At 34.9% G+C, this 18400-nt stretch overlaps 1 protein-coding gene across 18 annotated transcripts in view; it reads left to right on the top strand.

Annotated features, from left to right (window-relative positions):
• Window positions 1-2595: 2595 nt before the first annotated feature.
• IQCM (IQ motif containing M) overlaps window positions 2596-18400 on the top strand; it is a 464135-nt gene continuing 448330 nt past the window's right edge. For all 18 annotated transcript variants that reach the window (NM_001378180.1, XM_017008904.3, NM_001363507.2 and 15 more), the window contains exons 1-2: window positions 2596-2839; window positions 3091-3128. The gene's annotated coding sequence lies outside the window, so the exon portion shown is untranslated. The remainder of the gene's footprint in view (window positions 2840-3090; window positions 3129-18400) is intronic.

Raw genomic sequence — 18400 nt, 5'->3', positions numbered from 1 at the left:
ATCCTTTCCCCATTGCTTATTTTTCTCAGGTTTGTCAAAGATCAGATAGTTGTAGATATGCGGCATTATTTCTGAGGGCTCTGTTCTGTTCCATTGGTCTATATCTCTGTTTTGGTACCAGTACCATGCTGTTTTGGTTACTGTAGCCTTGTAGTATAGTTTGAAGTCAGGTAGCGTGATGCCTCCAGCTTTGTTCTTTTGGCTTAGGATTGACTTGGCAGTGCGGGCTCTTTTTTGGTTCCATATGAACTTTAAAGTAGTTTTTTCCAATTCTGTGAAGAAAGTCATTGGTAGCTTGATGGGGATGGCATTGACTCTATAAATTACCTTGGGCAGTATGGCCATTTTGACGATATTGATTCTTCCTACCCATGAGCATGGAATGTTCTTCCATTTGTTTGTATCCTCTTTTATTTCCTTGAGCAGTGGTTTGTAGTTCTCCTTGAAGAGGTCCTTCACGTCCCTTGTAAGTTGGATTCCTAGGTATTTTATTCTCTTTGAAGCAATTGTGAATGGGAGTTCACTCATGATTTGGCTCTCTGTTTGTCTGTTGTTGGTGTATAAGAATGCTTGTGATTTTTGTACATTGATTTTGTATCCTGAGACTTTGCTGAAGTTGCTTATCAGCTTAAGGAGATTTCGGGCTGAGACAGTAGGGTTTTCTAGATATACAATCATGTCGTCTGCAAAGAGGGACAATTTGACTTCCTCTTTTCCTAACTGAATACCCTTTATTTCCTTCTACTGCCTAATTGGCCTGGCCAGAACTTCCAACACTATGTTGAATAGGAGTGGTGAGAGAGGGCATCCCTGTCTTGTGCCACTTTTCAAAGGGAATGCTTCCAGTTTTTGCCCATTCAGTATGATATTGGCTGTGGGTTTGTCATAGATTGCTCTTATTATTTTGAGATACGTCCCATCAATACCTAATTTATTGAGAGTTTTTAGTATGAAGGGTTGTTGAATTTTGTCAAAGGCCTTTTCTGCATCTATTGAGATAATCATGTGGTTTTTGTGTTTGGTTCTGTTTATATGCTGGATTACATTCATTGATTTGTGCATATTGAACCAGCTTTGCTTCCCAGGGATGAAGCCCAGTTGATCATGGTGGATAAGCTTTTTGATGTGCTGCTGGATTCGTTTTGCCAGTATTTTATTGAGTATTTTTGCATCAATGTTCATCAAGGATATTGGTCTAAAATTCTCTTTTTTGGTTGTGTCTCTGCCTGGCTTTGGTATCAGGATGATGCTGGCCTCATAAAATGAGTTAGGGAGGATTCCCTCTTTTTCTATTGATTGGAATAGTTTCAGAAGGAATGGTACCAGTTCCTCCTTGTACCTCTGGTAGAATTCGGCTGTGAATCCATCTGGTCCTGGACTCTTTTTGGTTGGTAAGCTATTGATTATTGCCACAATTTCAGCTCCTGTTATTGGTCTATTCAGAGATTCAACTTCTTCCTGGTTTAGTCTTGGGAGGGTGTATGTGTCGAGGAATTTATCCATTTCTTCTAGATTTTCTAGTTTATTTGCGTAGAGATGTTTGTAGTATTCTCTGATGGTAGTTTGTATTTCTGTGGGATCGGTGGTGATATCCCCTTTCTCATTTTTTATTGCATCTATTTGATTCTTCTCTTTTTTTTTCTTTATTAGTCTTGCTAGCAGTCTATCAATTTTGTTGATCCTTTCAAAAAACCAGTTCCTGGATTCATTAATTTTTTGAAGGGTTTTTTGTGTCTCTATTTCCTTCAGTTCTGCTCTGATTTTAGTTATTTCTTGCCTTCTGCTAGCTTTTGAATGTGTTTGCTCTTGCTTTTGTAGTTCTTTTAATTGTGATGTTAGGGTGTCAGTTTTGGATCTTTCCTGCTTTCTCTTGTGGGCATTTAATGCTATAAATTTCCCTCTACACACTGCTTTGAATGTGTCCCAGAGATTCTGGTATGTTGTGTCTTTGTTCTCACTGGTTTCAAAGAACATCTTTATTTCTGCCTTCATTTCTTTATGTACCCAGTAGTCATTCAGGAGCAGTTTGTTCAGTTTCCATGTAATTGAGCAGTTTTGAGTGAGTTTCTTAATCCTGAGTTCTAGTTTGATTGCACTGTGGTCTGAGAGACAGTTTGTTATAATTTCTGATCTTTTACATTTGCTGAGGAGAGCTTTACTTCCAAGTATGTGGTCAATTTTGGAATAGGTGTGGTGTGGTGCTGAAAAAAATGTATATTCTGTTGATTTGGGGTGGAGAGTTCTGTAGATGTCTATTATGTCCGCTTGGTGCAGAGCTGAATTCAATTCCTGGGTATCCTTGTTAACTTTCTGTCTCATTGATCTGTCTAATGTTGACAGTGGGGTGTTAAAGTCTCCCATTATTATTGTGTGGGAGTTCTTTTAAATCTTACATGTTAAAAGTAGAGTCTTTCTCCTATGAGGCATCTTATTATTTTCTGTTGTCAGATTTGGTGTTCTTCACGAAGGAGCTTAGTCTGTACCTATACTGTTTGGAATAGAGAGCTCCCCCTGACATAGGCAGGATGATAATAATAGCCAATTATCTAATACATCACAAATAAGTATTCTGATTCTAGAATTCTTCTGATGCCCAAAGAAGACAGGCATATGTGAGAAGAAGCAATCAGAAGATTGGCAGGATTTAGGAATCTATTTGAAATATTCATTACCTATTTTGAATTGGTCTTAAAAATTTAAAGAAATATAAAGCTGGATAATTAAAGATAAATAATAAAGGAAGAATACAAGGTTTCTATGCTGTGAAGCAACTGAGATTATTATGATTTTGGGGCAGTGAATTTGTTTCTAGAAGTTTTGTTGGAACTAAGGCAGAAAGGTAAGTAATTAAATACTATCAATTGGCTTAAGTAGTATTAATTATCTGTTTCTTATAAAAAGCTTTACACACTTTCTGCAAGGCACATTTTTTTTTCTCATGGAATTTGTTCAAAGAAATAAGTTTTCTTAGGATTTGATAAAATTATGTTTATAAATTTTTTTGCTTAGATGATAAGATATATGGTTGACAATGTTTTTTGTTTTACAAGCTGTGAGCATATTTTCAATGAACTCTCCTGTGCCTTCTAGGAAGAAGAACAAATGACCTTGGAATGAAAAACTTTAAGGTAGAAGTTACTAATATACCACGTTGTCTGTATATAACAATTCAGGCCCCTTGGTCAGTGTCTGATTTTAAGCGGCATTGCATCCTCATGTGCCTTCAGTTATAAACTATACCCCCCATGTAGCTTCGTGAGTTGGTTTGCTTATTTGGGCTACTTAAAATTTTCCTTTTAAAGGCTAAATGATTTTGCCAAATTAAATATATTTAATGTTAATACTGAGCTGTTATGACTATTGTCAACAGAGACCACCACTTATTTGAGAAGCCTCTTACAAAGAGAAAATAAAATCATGCATTTTCAAAGAGTAGGATACTCTACTATTGCTTTATTTTTGTAAATCAACGCCATTACTAAATGTCTTTTACATATAGATTTTTAGAGTGCTCTTGAACACAGACATATTTAATCTCTTTAAAGACTGAATTGGAAGACTGAATGTGGCATGAGAAAAATCCTAGCTTTTAACTGTATATGATTCATACTCCAGAGTGGTCATATACAGAACCATCAGTATTATACATTTTTTACTCTTGATGGTCTCTGCCCATTGGGTCAAATGCTAATAATAGATCCAAGAGATAGGTCAAAGAAATTATTCAGAGAAATTAATCTTAACTGTTAATTAATCTTAACTGTCCCTAAGTGGGATGGAACAGAGGTGAATAGTGGTTTTAGAATAGCTATTCTGGATACCTGATTGATATTTGTCATTTGTTATGAAAAAAATCTGTTATAGAGTTCTAAAAACATACTAATAATATTTACAGTCTATTTTTTTTGGAATGATTAAGTATAAAGATATCACCTTGAGCATCTTGAAGTAATTACCCTGTATACTTAAGATAATTAGCTTGATAAAGACTGGGTTGTTCTTTCAGAATGGACTGTGAAAATAATTCTGGTGGTAAGAGATCATTTTCTAAAGCTGATTCCAATGTAGCATGACTAATTATATGTTTTCAAGGGGAGGAAGTTACAGGCTTGTAACATGATTTTTAATATGGAACTATCAACATGAATTATCATTTAGAGTGAAATTATTTGACCAGTATTTGATAGACATTTGTACTTCAATATTTCCTCTTGGAAGGTCTTGCAGTTTTAAAACATAATTCTCTGTATTTTAGAAGTTTAGGTAGTGTGCCAAAGTTTTTATTGCAATGAATATTAAAGAACTCAGGACCTAGGCTCCATCTGATTTTCTGTATCTTAACCATATCCAGAGAGTCTCCTGTTTACTTTTAGAAATGTAAAGGAATTCAGAAGATTTGTTTCAACTGCTTCCTATCATTCAGATACTTTCTTCATGAAGCCCTGGATTACAGCATGCTCATAATGAATTGCAGTTGTTCAATTATTGGGAGGTTTGTAATGAAGCTTTGGAGTTCTAAATGGGTCAGAGCAGGTTTTGCACTTTATCAGCTTGTGAGAAAATCCAAGTGGCACTCTGTGCTAAGGACTCTGGAATAATAATTTTGGCACCTGTTGGTCTCTATTTTTCTGAAGAGAGGGGGATATTATTGAGGACTAGCCAATAAATGAATTCTTTAAAGGTATTCCTTATCTGGAGATGAATCAGTTTGTTCTAGCTCAATATAAAGATGCTTAGATTCAAACAAGATTCTAGTAACTTAAGTAACTAAAGTGGAGTAGGGGAAGACATATAGGTATCTAATTACTTCTCAGATAGCTTTTATCCAGTCTCCTTATTTTAGGTTTCTATCTGCCTACCCATTTTTAATTCCCAGTTTTAGAGAAATTGGTACTGCTAGTTGCTGAGCATTTGGGGGTATCTGTTGTGTAACTAGTTAATTCTTGGCTTTTCCTGTCACTGACTTAAGATTGAGCTTTCTTGGGTGTAGTACTTCAATTACTTCTTGTCCACCTGCTTCTCAGCTTTAAAAATTTCATTGCCATTGTCTCCTGTCCTGTTCTTCCCATTCTTGTGGGTTCATGTCTTTTAAAAAAAAGATGCATTAGATACATTTGTTCAATATTTTATATTACCCTAGAACACCCTATTCAAGATGTACCTTTGAGTGGGAAACTGACAACCTCTTTCAGACGATAGATCTGAAGCTAATAGTACAGCAGGGTCTGGTGTAGAAAATTTACTTAGCTGAGAAGGATTTATTTTTTGAGTGGAAAGAAAAAAATAATAAAAATTTTCTTGTTTGGGGGATGCCAGGACTAAGAATGCTTTTTTTGTGAAGTAACCCTTAATCCAGCCCCATCATGTGAATTTTGAATATTAAGACAAAATGTAATATTTTAATGCAATGAAAAAGTTCACCGAGGTTTAAATATAGCCTGACATTTCTGCAAAAAGATGCTCATTAACTCTGAGATATTAATGTAGCTGACTGATAACCAGGATTAAGTTGTTGATTTTTAAAACTATTACAACAAAGTAAAATGCTAGAGGCTTTTATCATGACCAGAGAGGTCTGCATTGTCACCTGGGTGTAGGGGAGGGCAAAATACACAATTAGCCAGAGCAGAGGTTCAGCTTCAATTTATGTCAGTGAAACTGAAGGCCGAGAGTAAGTAGTTCCTTCTCTTTGCATTTTATACCTGGTATAAGGGCAGAAATAAAGTACACTGTCAATCAAAGCAAAAAGGTAGTCCTAATCACGTCAAACCTAATTTATTAACAATAATGATATGATAGCATTGTAATTATGAATGTTATTCCAAAATTTTAGATAATAGCTAAATTTTAAGAGAATACTCTGTAAATACTGTTTGAGGAATAGTGGATTTTACTATCCTCAAAGGATAGTGTGTGTGTGTGTGTGTGTGTGTGTCTGTGTGTGTGTGTGTGTGTGTGAGAGAGAGAGAGAGAGAGAGAGATCTAGAAGGTAGAATGGATAAAATGAAAGGAAGAAATTTAGCATGAGGTTTCTTTTCCAGTATATTGTTATTTGCATCTTCACAATATACAGAGCTATATCATATATTTCTGGTGCTCATTCCCATCCTCCAATTAAAAGTTAAAAAACATGTAACTAATCTAAAAAGGGTCACTTCCACAACAAAGGATTTGCCCTTTGTCATAGTGATATTTGGTGTTTAAGGATGACTCTTAGGAATATGGCTCCAAATTAAAAGAAGCATTTGTATTTCTCAGTTCACCCAAAGGAGTAATAAACCATACTTTGACTTCTGAAGTCTGTTTCAAAGTCAAATGCCTTCCTTTGAGAGTACTTTGCTGCTCACTTATAAAACTGGAAAAGGGCATTTCAGTCAATGCTTTATTCTCCTAGTTAGGAATGGAGGCTGAGTATGTGGCCACCAACATGGATAATTTAAGGAACTCTTAGAAGGCCCTTCTATCAAAACATATCTCCCTGAATGAAGCCTATATATTTCTCTTTACTTTTTTGAACTGTTTGAAATTCTGCATGTTACAGAGTCACTCAGATTACAGTGTCCTCTTTTAAAAGAAAAATATCCCAGGGAGGGTTAAGTAGTCTGTTAATCAATTATTCACAGTCCAGTGTGGCTTAGTTTAATTAAATTGCTTTTCTGTAGTTATGGACATTTTGATGGAGCCCAGGAAGAGAGAAAAAGGAAATAATTTAGTCCTCGGGATTGTTCAGTATAAGGCAAGCCTGAGCTGAGAGCACTGAAGTGGGTTCACTATTGTCATCCAAAAGGCAGAATGAGGACCCTGGATACCTGGGAGTGGGGCAGAGGAGACAGGAGCTAAGAGAGGAAAAGAGAAAGAGAAGCAGGGAAATGCCAAAGATAAACTTTGACATATTGTGGATCAGTCCATTCACTATCATAAAAGCTTTTACGTTAATATTGTTGGGTACTGTGCTGAAATGGTTTTGTATTTCTTTTTTGAATTTGTTTTTTGTTTTAATATATATCTTGATATTTTGGGAAAAAGAATGTAGATAAGCTGTATTAGAATGATGCCACAAACATACAGTACTATGTATATGTTATTCATTAAACATGGTTATGGATTAATTATTATCCAAAGCAAGGAGAAAAGCCCAGAATTACTCAGTTAAATAATTTGGAAACTCTGTTGATGGAAAGAAATCACCAGATTTCTATCAAAGATGAATTTTTTTCATGTGCTTTTGGTACATGGCAGGGATAATGCAATGTAGTTGTGTCCTTGGTAGACTTGAAAGATATTTCAGTTCAAGCAGGTGCCTCTTTTTAAAGGCTTGCTCTAAATTGTAAAGACTTTGAAATATAATCCACTTATTTTAGAAATTTTTAGGCTTGTTCTTCTTATAGAACAGTATCTATGAGTAGAAAAGCAAGCTAAGAAATCTAACCAATCTTGGTTAATCACACCAATGGGAAACTGACAGCTATAGCAGGGTTCAGGCACCACCTACTACTTCGAGTGTTTAATTGGCAGATATGTTACATAGGAGGAATGAAATATCATTCATACAAACTTGGCAAAGTTTGGCGGGTTATATAAATTCAAATATAATAGCTAGGGTGATCACATGATTTATCACCCAATCCAAATCCAGACGGTTTTGAGAGTGAAAGGTGATGTTCAAAATAATTAAAATTATATGTTTTGGGCTGGGCATGGTGGCTCACGCCTGTAATCCCAGCAATTTGGGAGGCTGAGGTGGGCAGATCACGAGGTTAGGGGTTTGAGACCAGCCTGACCAACATGGTGAAACCCCGTCTCTACTAAAAAAATACAAAACTTAGCCGGGCGTGGTGGCACGTGCCTTTAATCCCAGCTGCTCAGGAGGCTGAGGCAGGAGAATCGCTTGAACCTGGGAGGCAGAGGTTGCAGTGAGCCAAGATTGCACCATTGTACTCCAGCCTGGGTGACAGAGCAAGACTCTGTCTCAAAGAAAAAAAAATTATATGTTTTTGAAATAATATGTATCCCTCTATTAATAGGTTTATTATCTTGGTATAAGCACTCCAACTTTTCTTTTTTTTTTTTTTTTTTGGAGATGGTGTCTTGCTCGGTCATCCAGGCTGGAGTGTAATGGCGCAATCATGGCTTACCACAACCTCTGCATCCTGGGCCCAAACAATCCTCCTGCCTCAGCCTCCCAAGTAGCTGGAATTACAGGCATGTGCCACTGTGCCCCATGATGGGTTTCATCATGTTGCCCAGGCTGGTCTCGAACTCCTGGACTCAAGTGTTCCACCCACCTTGGCCTCCCAAAGCGCTAGGATTACCGGTGTGAGCCACCATGTCCAGCCCGTACTCTAACATTGTAATACCTGTGGGGAGGAAAAAGCAGCTGATCTATGACCGAGGGAGGAGTTGGAGATAAGATATATATCTGTATATCTACAGAGAGAGAGAGAGGAAAGAAACCTGGAAATGTGCTAATCAGACACTCGGTATTTATTAAGGAAAAGAGATAACTGAGAGTACTTGTCTGTGGAATATTTTCAGCAGAAAATATCTGATCTATCTGGGTTGCTTATGGTAAACAATAGGATTGAAAGATTTCTGGTGCATATCCTGTTTGAAATTGTCAATGTCAGTTTTAGGTAATTATCAGAATATGAAATGGAGATGCTTTATGATCAAAATAGCTCCCACTCCGTAAGTAATGCCTCTCATGCATCATTTGGTGATTACATGAGTTAGATGTGGACCAGAGCACATCCTAATGTGGCAAGGATCAGTCGAGGAGTTGTATTGTTGCCCTCAGACTTCTTTAGGTGTTGCCTGTGTATCAAGCTTACTTTTATGTTTTGAAATTACTAAAGTTTGATACTGGGTAAGATTTCTTATTTTATTGGCAATTCAATTATTTTCTGGTCTCAAACTATAAAATACTCCTATTCAAATACTATTTTCAAAAATAAAAATCTTTAAGTCAATTAAAATAAATATGTCCGTATACATTAAAGCTAAACAAACAAAAAACCCACTTGGTTATCTGACTATCAAAAAAATGACTATAAGCGGAATAGCCATTTTTGGGAAGTATTTGTATACTGTAAGATTGTTCTTAGCCTATCTGTTTTTATTATAGTGACACCAGTATTTGTCTGAAAATCGTATTTTTCAACTGTTTTTTTTTTCTTTTTGAGACAGTCTCATTCTGTCTCCAGGCTGGAGTGCAGTGGTGTGATCTCGGCTCACTGCACCCTCTACCTCCCAGGTTCAAGCGATTCCCCTGCCTCAGCCTCCCGGGTAGCTGGGTTTTTCATAAAATTGAACTTGTTGATACCTTCAATGAATCTTGTCTAAGACCACACTATTTTTAACTGAGAAAACACTCTCTGCAGGTGCTGAGGTGCCTGGTAAGTTCAGGACAAATATTAAATGAAGGATATCCTTAGTTCTTATTTTTTCAAAATATTAAAATGTGTAAATATTCCAAACCAAACATCTTCAAAAGTGTTTGCTACCTTTTTACTTCCATTTAGAGTAACTTTCTTCAAAAAATTATCTTACAAGACAACTCATCAAATTTGTTTCTATTTATAATTTCTATGAATATTTCACAAAACTTAGATACTACAGTCATACCCTTCTAAATTTCATTACATTCTGATAGAGGATATATATTTATCAACTTAAAAATAAGCACTTCATCAAGATTCCTCTCCCAAGTTGAGAAACTTGAAGCACAAATATAGATTTTCTTTATTTGATTTTTTATGATACATTGTACATATTTTGGGGATACATGTGGTATTTTGATACACGTATACAATGTGTAATGATCAAATCAAGGTAATTGAGATATCCAACACCTCAAACATCTACCTTTTTGTGTTAAGAACATTATAATTATTCTCTTCTAGATATTTTGAAAACTATGATAAATTATGATAAATTATTAACTATAATTTCTTTACTGCACTATCAAATATTAGAACTTATTGCTATGTAACTGTATTTTTGTACTCATTAGCCAACTTTTCTTCATCCCTTCTGTCTCTTCTAGTAACCACTATTCTATTCTCTATCTCCATGAGACACACTTTTAGCTCCCTCATATGAGTGAGAACATGCAATATTTGTCTTTCTGACTGGCTTATTTCACTTAACATAATGACCTCCATTTCCATCCACGTTGCTGCAAATGACAGGATTTCATTATTTTTATGGATGAATAATATTGCATTGTGCATCTATACTACATTTTATCCTTTTATCCACTGATGAGCACTTAGGTTGATTCCATATCTTGCCATTGTGAATAGTGGTGCAATGAACATAGGCTTGCAGATATCTCTTAAATATACCAATTTCCTTTCTTTTGGAAATATGCTCAGCAGTGGAATTGCTGGATCATATGGTAGTTCTATTTTTAGTTTTTTGAGAAACTTCCATACCATTCTTCACAGTGACTATACTAATTTACTTTCCTATTGATAGTGTAAAAGTGGTAGCTTTTCTCCACGTCATCACCAGCGTTTGTTATTTTTTGTCTTTTTAATAATAGTATTCTAACTGGGGTGAGGTGGTTTTGACATGCATCTTCCTGGTGATTAGTGATGCTGAACATTTTTTCATATACCTGTTGGCCATTTGTGTGTCATCTTTTAAGATGTGTCTATTCAGGTCTTTTGACCACTTTTAAAATTGGATTATTTGTTCTTTTTGCTATTAATTTTTTTTCCCTTATATATTCTGGCTATTAATTCCTTGTCAGATGGGTAGTTTGCAAATATTTTCTCCCATTCTATGGGTTGTCTCTTCACTTTGTTGATTGTTTCCTTTGCGTGCAGAAACCTTTTAGCTTGATGTAATCTCTTTTGTCTATTTTTGCTGTGATTGCCTGTGCTTTTGAGATCTTACCTTCCAAAAAAAACTTTGCCCAGACTGATGTCCTGTAGCATTTCCTCAATATCTTCTCATAGTTTCTAGTTTCAGTTCTTACATTTAAGTCTTTAATCCATTTTCAGTTGATTTTTATATATGGCAAAAGATGAGTATCTAGCTTAATTCTTCTACATATGGATATCTAGTTTTCCCAGCACAATTTATTTAAAAAGAGTCTATCCCTTCCCCCAGTGTATGTTCTTGGAGTTTTATGTCAGTACCATGGTGTTTTGATTACCGTAGCTTTTTTAGAATAATTTGAAATTAGGTAGTGTGATATTTCTAGCCTTGCTTTTTTTGCTTAGGATTGCTCTAGCTATTTGGGGTCTTTCATGATTCCCTATGAGTTTTAGGATTTTTTTTCTATTTCTGTAAGAATGTCTTTGGTATTTTGATAGGGATTGTGTTGGATATGTAGATTGTTTTGGATAGTATAGAGATTTTAATAATATTCATTCTTCTAGTCCATGAGTGTGAAATATATTTCCATTTTTTTGTGTCCTCTTCAATTTATTTTATCAGTGTTTTGTAGGTTTTCTTTTAGAGATTTTTCACCTCTTTGATTTAATTTATTCCTGTTTTGTAGCTATTGTAAATGGGATTGTTTTCTTGATTTTTTTGTAAGATCGATCACTGTCAGTGTCAAATATACATTTTCAAAATTAAATCATGTATGTTTTTTAAGCTCTCATAGTTTGATTTGTTTATCCTTCCTTTGCTTTTGCTGTGATACATGTATAGATTTTTCTGTTTACAAGCTTGTTTTCAAAAATTGCAATTTGTGAAAAGCTTCAAGGTCATAAGATTTTTGATCCTTTATTTACTGATGACTTTTATTAAAAATTTCCAGCTATTATTTAATAAAATGTAACCAGGGACTTACTTATAAAAGTTCATTACCATTTCTCAATTTCTAGGCATAGAAAGACAAATATCACCTGTTCCTACTCATATGTAGGGGCTAAAACAAATGTATCTCATGAAGGTAGACAGCAGAATGCTGGTTACCAAAGACTGGAAAGAGAAGAAGGGAAGAAGGATGAAGGGAGATTGGTTAATGGGTACAAAAATACAGTTACATAGGAGAAATAAGTTCTGGTATTTGATAATACAGTAGAGAAATTAGAGTTAGCAACAAGTTATTGTATATTTCAAATTAGCCAAAATAGAATAAGTGTAATGTTCTTGACACGTAAAATAAGATAAATCTTTGAGGTGACCGATATACCTCCTTAAAAAATAACTAAACTAAATTAAATAAATAATATCCTGGAAAAATAATCCATTTGAGCTGCAAAGAAAGAAAACACATAATACCATGCTAAAGCATGTACATAAAAATTAACAGCTTTTTACAAAAATTCTTTTAAATTAATATATTTAATATTTCTATATATAATTCTTTGCATATTTTGACAATCAAAGTTTCTATTTCATTTGGCAGAATATCATAGCTCATTTTGGATGTGAATGTATATATTATGTGTGTACCAAAACCAACTCCAATTATATTTCTCCAAGCTTTATTAATTTAGCAAAGCCATCGTAACTTGTCATTGTGCACTACCAAAATTCATATTAACATCAAAAAACAAATAATTTAATCTTCAACATTGAATTTTTAAGCTGATGTTACATGCATATTCACAATACTATCTGATGTTTAATTTTGACAGACTAAAGACCCAGAAGCTTTAATTTCAGTCCAAGAATTAGATGAAAAATAAAAATCAAACACTATTGGAATTAACTGTTTTTTTCCTTCAAAGCAACTGATGACATTGATATGAAATTGGAAATATTTAACCATTTGCAAATTCTTTTTATGCTAATGGAGCCAACATTTCAACAGCTATTACTTCACTTTTTATTTGTGTAATGAAAAAATTTAGAATTAAAAATATACAAAGTTGTTTTAAAAGCCTTATCTGATCTAAATGAAAGGTCATGTTTCACAGAGTGACACATAAAAATATCTTCTGCAGCTACATGTTAAATTTTAAGATAATTTTAAAACAGATGCTGATATTTCTTCAGGATGTTTGTTCCTCTTGGTTTCATGTGGCTAGAAATGACCATCCCAAAGGATGGAAAATGTCGAAAAACACTTTGTGTCAGTTACACATTTATTATGAACTCTCTAGAGAAAAGAAAATTCATTGCTCATTTTTTATTTAACATGTACCTTTTTGAGCTAATTTCCCAATAAAGGATTTATTTAAAAACAAACAGAAAAGCATTTCCAAGAAATAAAATGAATGAATCACTGTAGATATACAGTATAGAATAAAATTTAAAAACTACATAGCAAGAGTACTCATACTATTCTCTATATGCTCAAGAGCAGATTAAAATTTCTTACACATATTCATGCAACTCTAGCCTATAATTTCTCATATTTCTTACTGCTCATTACTGGTGGCTTGACAGCTTTATGAATGGTACAAACCTAAGGATAGAACACTTCACAACTGGCTTTTCCTTTAAGTGGCCAACAGGGCAGCAATGTGAATACTTCTCCCATCATCATTCAAGATTAGAGGCAGTTATATGTTCCCAGCAGGTTGCATCCTACTTCGTGCACTTCATTTTACTAGTAAATGCCCTAGATGCTATTCTTGAAAGGGATGTGCTACTTATACTGTATCCAGAAAGTGTCCGTGGAAAAGAGGGAAATACACTAAATATCTTTCAAATTTAATCATGTATTAAAGTGAGAAATCTGCCCACTGCACAACTGTTTATCTCACATGTTACTAGAAAAGACCACGATAGAAGTTAGAATTAAAAAGTGGAGGTCTACCAAGCCCATCTGGATTATTTTAATGCAACTATTAATAACAATACTTCTTTTCTAAAAAAGGGATAAACATACAGGGCAAAAATTAAATAGGCAAAACTTCCAGTTTCTGGTCTGACATGTCAGCTTGGAAGTCAACACTTCTGTCTTCACAACAAGAAAAAAGCTGAACAAACTGAAAGTCAACAACTCTTCTTAGATTCTTTAGACAGTTGAGGTCACAGGGCAGTCTGTCACTCTGTAAACTGGAGAGACAGGCAGATACAGAGAATCACAGCTCATTGGCAGTGGAAACTGCTGCTAGAACCTGGAAGGGACACTTAAAGGGTAATTGACTACTGAAGACTGAGTGTGGACTTTCTTGAGAAATAAAAATTCCCAGGGTCCTAGCTTAAGGAAGGCCCCCATACTTTGTAAATTTTGTGTCCAGGAGCTCTACTAGGTTGTCATGGTGAAGATTAAAGAAAAATCCTCTTGTGCTTCTGTCAGGGTGAGGGAGAAAGTAACTGTTTTGAAATAAGCCCACAGTGCTCTCTTCTCCTTAATAATGACCTGCCCTCAAGGAAAACTATCTTACCAGAGCCAAATCTCCTTGGGTTTTACAAAAGCCTAACCAACTTGAGGAAAGGGAAATACTCAACTCCAGCCTCCTATAGCCTTCCATGTGGGGAAGGAAAATATCTAGTGCCAGCCCCCTCCAGCCATCTTGTATCACCTAAGGGGAGGAGGGAGAAGCTAAGAAGCACTTTTGAAGATCACAACCCAAGGGCAGAGGCTCATTAAAAGACTGAGACCCTCAGAAGATTATAGAACATTTCCTCTCTCATCTTACCACCACATCAATAGGGCCCTTATACAATAACAGAAAATTATAACTCAAAGAACTGCACATCTCAGACCCTATTTAAGAAATAGTCTGTAGGGAAACCCAGAGATGACTGAGGAGAAAAAACAAAAACACTAGCAAAAATGTTGACACCTATAAGAGAAGCAAATATAGACACAGATAAACTTCTAGCCAGATAAACATAAAACTCCACACTAAAGGTGTATTTACCCCAGTTCCTTTTCATGCAACTGTCCAGCTTTAAAAAAAATGAGGCATTCTAGAAGGCGAAAAGCACACTCTGAAGAGACGAGACAAACATCAGAATCAGACTCAACTGTACCAGAAATTTTTGAATTATCAGATTGGAAATCAAAGGAAATGTGAGAAATGAAGAATGCCTTTGACATGCTTATTAGTAGGCTGAAGATGGTCAAAGAAAGGCTCAATGAGGTTGAATAAATGTCAATAGAAACTTCCAACCTTCTCTCAAAGAGAAAAAAGAATAAATGAAAAAGGAGCAGAGTAAGAACTGTGGGACAATTACAAATGTTGTAATATGCATATGGTGGAAATATTAAATTTCCCATTATATAATATATTACATGGGAATTGTCCTTATGATGGCACATAACATGATATAGGAAGGGAAATAGACAAAATCAAGATTATGGAAGGATTTTTTTCTTGAACACGATCTATGTCTCAGAAAGCTTTAATGACGTTCCATACCAAATATTCAAGAGTATATGCAGGCTCTGGAACTAGAAGGCTTGGGTATAAACCTCAGTTCCATTGTTTACTAGCACATGGATCATGGGCAAGTTACTGCATCTGTCTGAGGATCAGTTACCTTATAAAATTGGGCTAATCATAGAGTCTAACTCATGAAGTTGATGTGATGATGAAATGAGATCATATATATTAAATTTTTAGGATTGTTCCTGACCTCCAAACATAGAACATTAGAAAGTATTGTCATTGTTGTCATATGTAGAGCAGCATTTTTCCGAGTGTCTTCTGTAGAACACAAGATTCTAGGGGTGTTAAGAATTACCAGAAACATGCTCCACAATAAAGAACTTTTAGGAAATATCTGACTACATAAAGAATTTTTAAAAGTCTCTTTACTATATAACCTTGAAAATGTTATGTATTTTAGAGAAGGGGAATTAATATGAAGCATTTCTCAAATACATTTGTCATCCTAAAAGAAAGAAGCTGAGGTACAAAATATAATTTAGAGTTTACTTGAGCCAAAGTTAGGAAAGCTTCCCAGGACATACTTTTATGTTGCCTTGGAGAATGCTCCATTAGCTTTTGTTACAAGCAGGTTTTCAAGGGCAAAGGGAGCAAAAAGTGGGCCAATACAAGTTGTTTGACAGGAATTCTCATCAGTTAACAGAAACAACATTGGTAGTGATTGGCTGTACATCACTGAACTATAGGTTATGAGTTATGGTGTCTAGCCTGTGGAATTTTTATGGCTACTTGGTGTCAGTCAGTCAAGAGCCAACACAGCCAGTGACTACGAGAGGTAATATTTAGCTCGAGGTGAAGTGAGATGTGACTGCTGTCACATTTTAAATGCTTCTGTTGGCCTGATAATTTTAAGGGGCTTACATTCGTCAGATGAAAAGTTTTTTTTTTTTCCCTCTTTCACATTTGACTGCAGAACATTTTTAAAAGGCTCATCCTAGGGGACTAGTTTTGCATGAAGCATACTTTGGGAAACATGACTTTTACATATTGGCTGCCACTTAAATCCTTTAAAATTTGGCCTAATTTAACTTATCAAACTGTATAAGCCATACTTCTTTTTTGTTTTATATTTCTATTCTTTTAATTTTTTGTGGCTACATAGTAGATATATATATATTAATAGGGTACATGAGATGTTTTGAAACAGGCATGCAATGCATAATAATTACATCATGGAGAATGGGGTATCCATCCCCTCAAGCATTTGTCTTTGGTGTTACAAACAATCCAATTATACTAGTTTAGTTATTTGAAAATGTATAATTATTTTTGACTATAGTCACCCTGTTGTGCTATCAAACAGCAGGTCTTATTTATTCTTTCTATTTTTTTTGGTACCCATTAATCATCCTCACCTTCCCTCCAGTCCTCCACTACTCTTCTTAGCCTCTGGTAATCATCCTTCTACTCTCTATGTCCGTGGGTTCAATTGTTTTGATTTTTAGATACCACAAATAAGTGAAAACATGTGATGTTTGTGTTTCTGTCCCTGGCTTATTTCATTTAACATAATGATCTCCAGCTGCATCCACGTTGTTGCAAATAACAGGATCTCATTTTTTTATGGATGAATAGTACTCCATTGTGTATAAGTACCATATGTTCTTTATCCATTCAACTGTTGATAGATACTTAAGTTGCTTCCAAATCTTGGCTATTGTGAACAGAGCTGCAACAAACATGGGAGTGCAGATATCTCTTTGATATACGGATCTCCTTTCTTTTGAGCATATACCCAGCAGTGGGATTGCTGGATCATGTGATAGCTCATTTTTTAGTGTTTTTGAGGAACCTCCAAACTGTTCTCCTTAGTGGTTGTACTAATTTTACATTCCCACCAACAGTGTACGAGGGTTCTTGTTTTTTTTCCACAACCTCACCAGAATTTGTTATTGCCTGTCTTTTGAATATAAGCCATATTTGTTGGGGTGAGATGATCTCATTGTAGTTTTGATTTGCATTTCTCTGATGATCCATGATGTTAAGCACCCTTTCATATGCCTGTTTGTCATTTGTATGTCCACTTTTGAGAGATGTCTATTCATTTTGCCCAAAAACTTTGCCCCCAAATATTTTGCCCCAAAAATGCCCAAAGGATAACTTTGGCTATTCGGAGTCTTTTGTGATTCCATATCAATTTTAGAATTTTTTTTCTATTTCTGTGAAGAATGTCATTGGTATTTTGATAGGGATTGCATTGAATTTGTGAGTGCTTTGGGAAGTATGGACTTTTTAACAATATTGACTCTTCCAATCCATAAACATGGAATATCTTTCTGTTTTTGGTGTCCTTTTCAATTCTCTCATTAGTGTTTTATAGTTTTCATTATAGAGATCTTTCACTTCTTTGATTAATTCCTAGGTAAATTTATGTGTGGCTATTTTAAATGAGGTTACTTTTTGATCCATTTTTCATATTGCTCTCTGTTGGCATATAGAAATGCTACTACTTTTTCTGTGTTGACTTTATATGCTGCAAATTTACTGAAATTTTTTTCAGTTCGAATAGTTTTTCAGTGGAGTCTTTAGGTTTTTCCAAATATAAGGTTATATCATCTGCAAACAAAGATAATTTGACTTTTTCCTTTCCAGTTTGGATGCCCTTTATTTCTTTCTCTTGTCTGATTGCTCTAGCTAGGACTTCCAGTACTAAGCTGAATAACAGTGGTGAAAGTAGGCATTCTTGTGTTCCAGATTTTAGAGGAAAGGGTTTCAGTTTTTCCCCACTCTGTATGATTCTAGCTGTGAGTCTGTCATATATGGCTTTTATTATGTTGAGATATGTTCCTTCTATACACATTTTTTGCAGGCTTTTATTTATGAAGTAATGTTGAGTTTTATTAAATACTTTTTTAGGTGTTAATTGAAATGATCATTTGGTTTTTATTCATTATTCTGTTGATATGATGTATCACATTGATTGATTTCCATATGTTAAATCATCTATGCATCCCAGGGATACATTCCACTTGGTCATGATGAGTGATCTTTTTAAAGTATTGCTGAATTTGGTTTGCTAGTATTTTGTTGAGGATTTTTTCATCAATATGCAGCAGAGATATTTGCCTGTAGTTTTCCTTTTTTGG

This window comes from Homo sapiens, chromosome 4, assembly GCF_000001405.40.
Source record: "Homo sapiens chromosome 4, GRCh38.p14 Primary Assembly".
NCBI classification, from domain to species: domain Eukaryota; kingdom Metazoa; phylum Chordata; class Mammalia; order Primates; family Hominidae; genus Homo; species Homo sapiens.
This window is presented reverse-complemented; position numbering and strand designations above follow the sequence as displayed.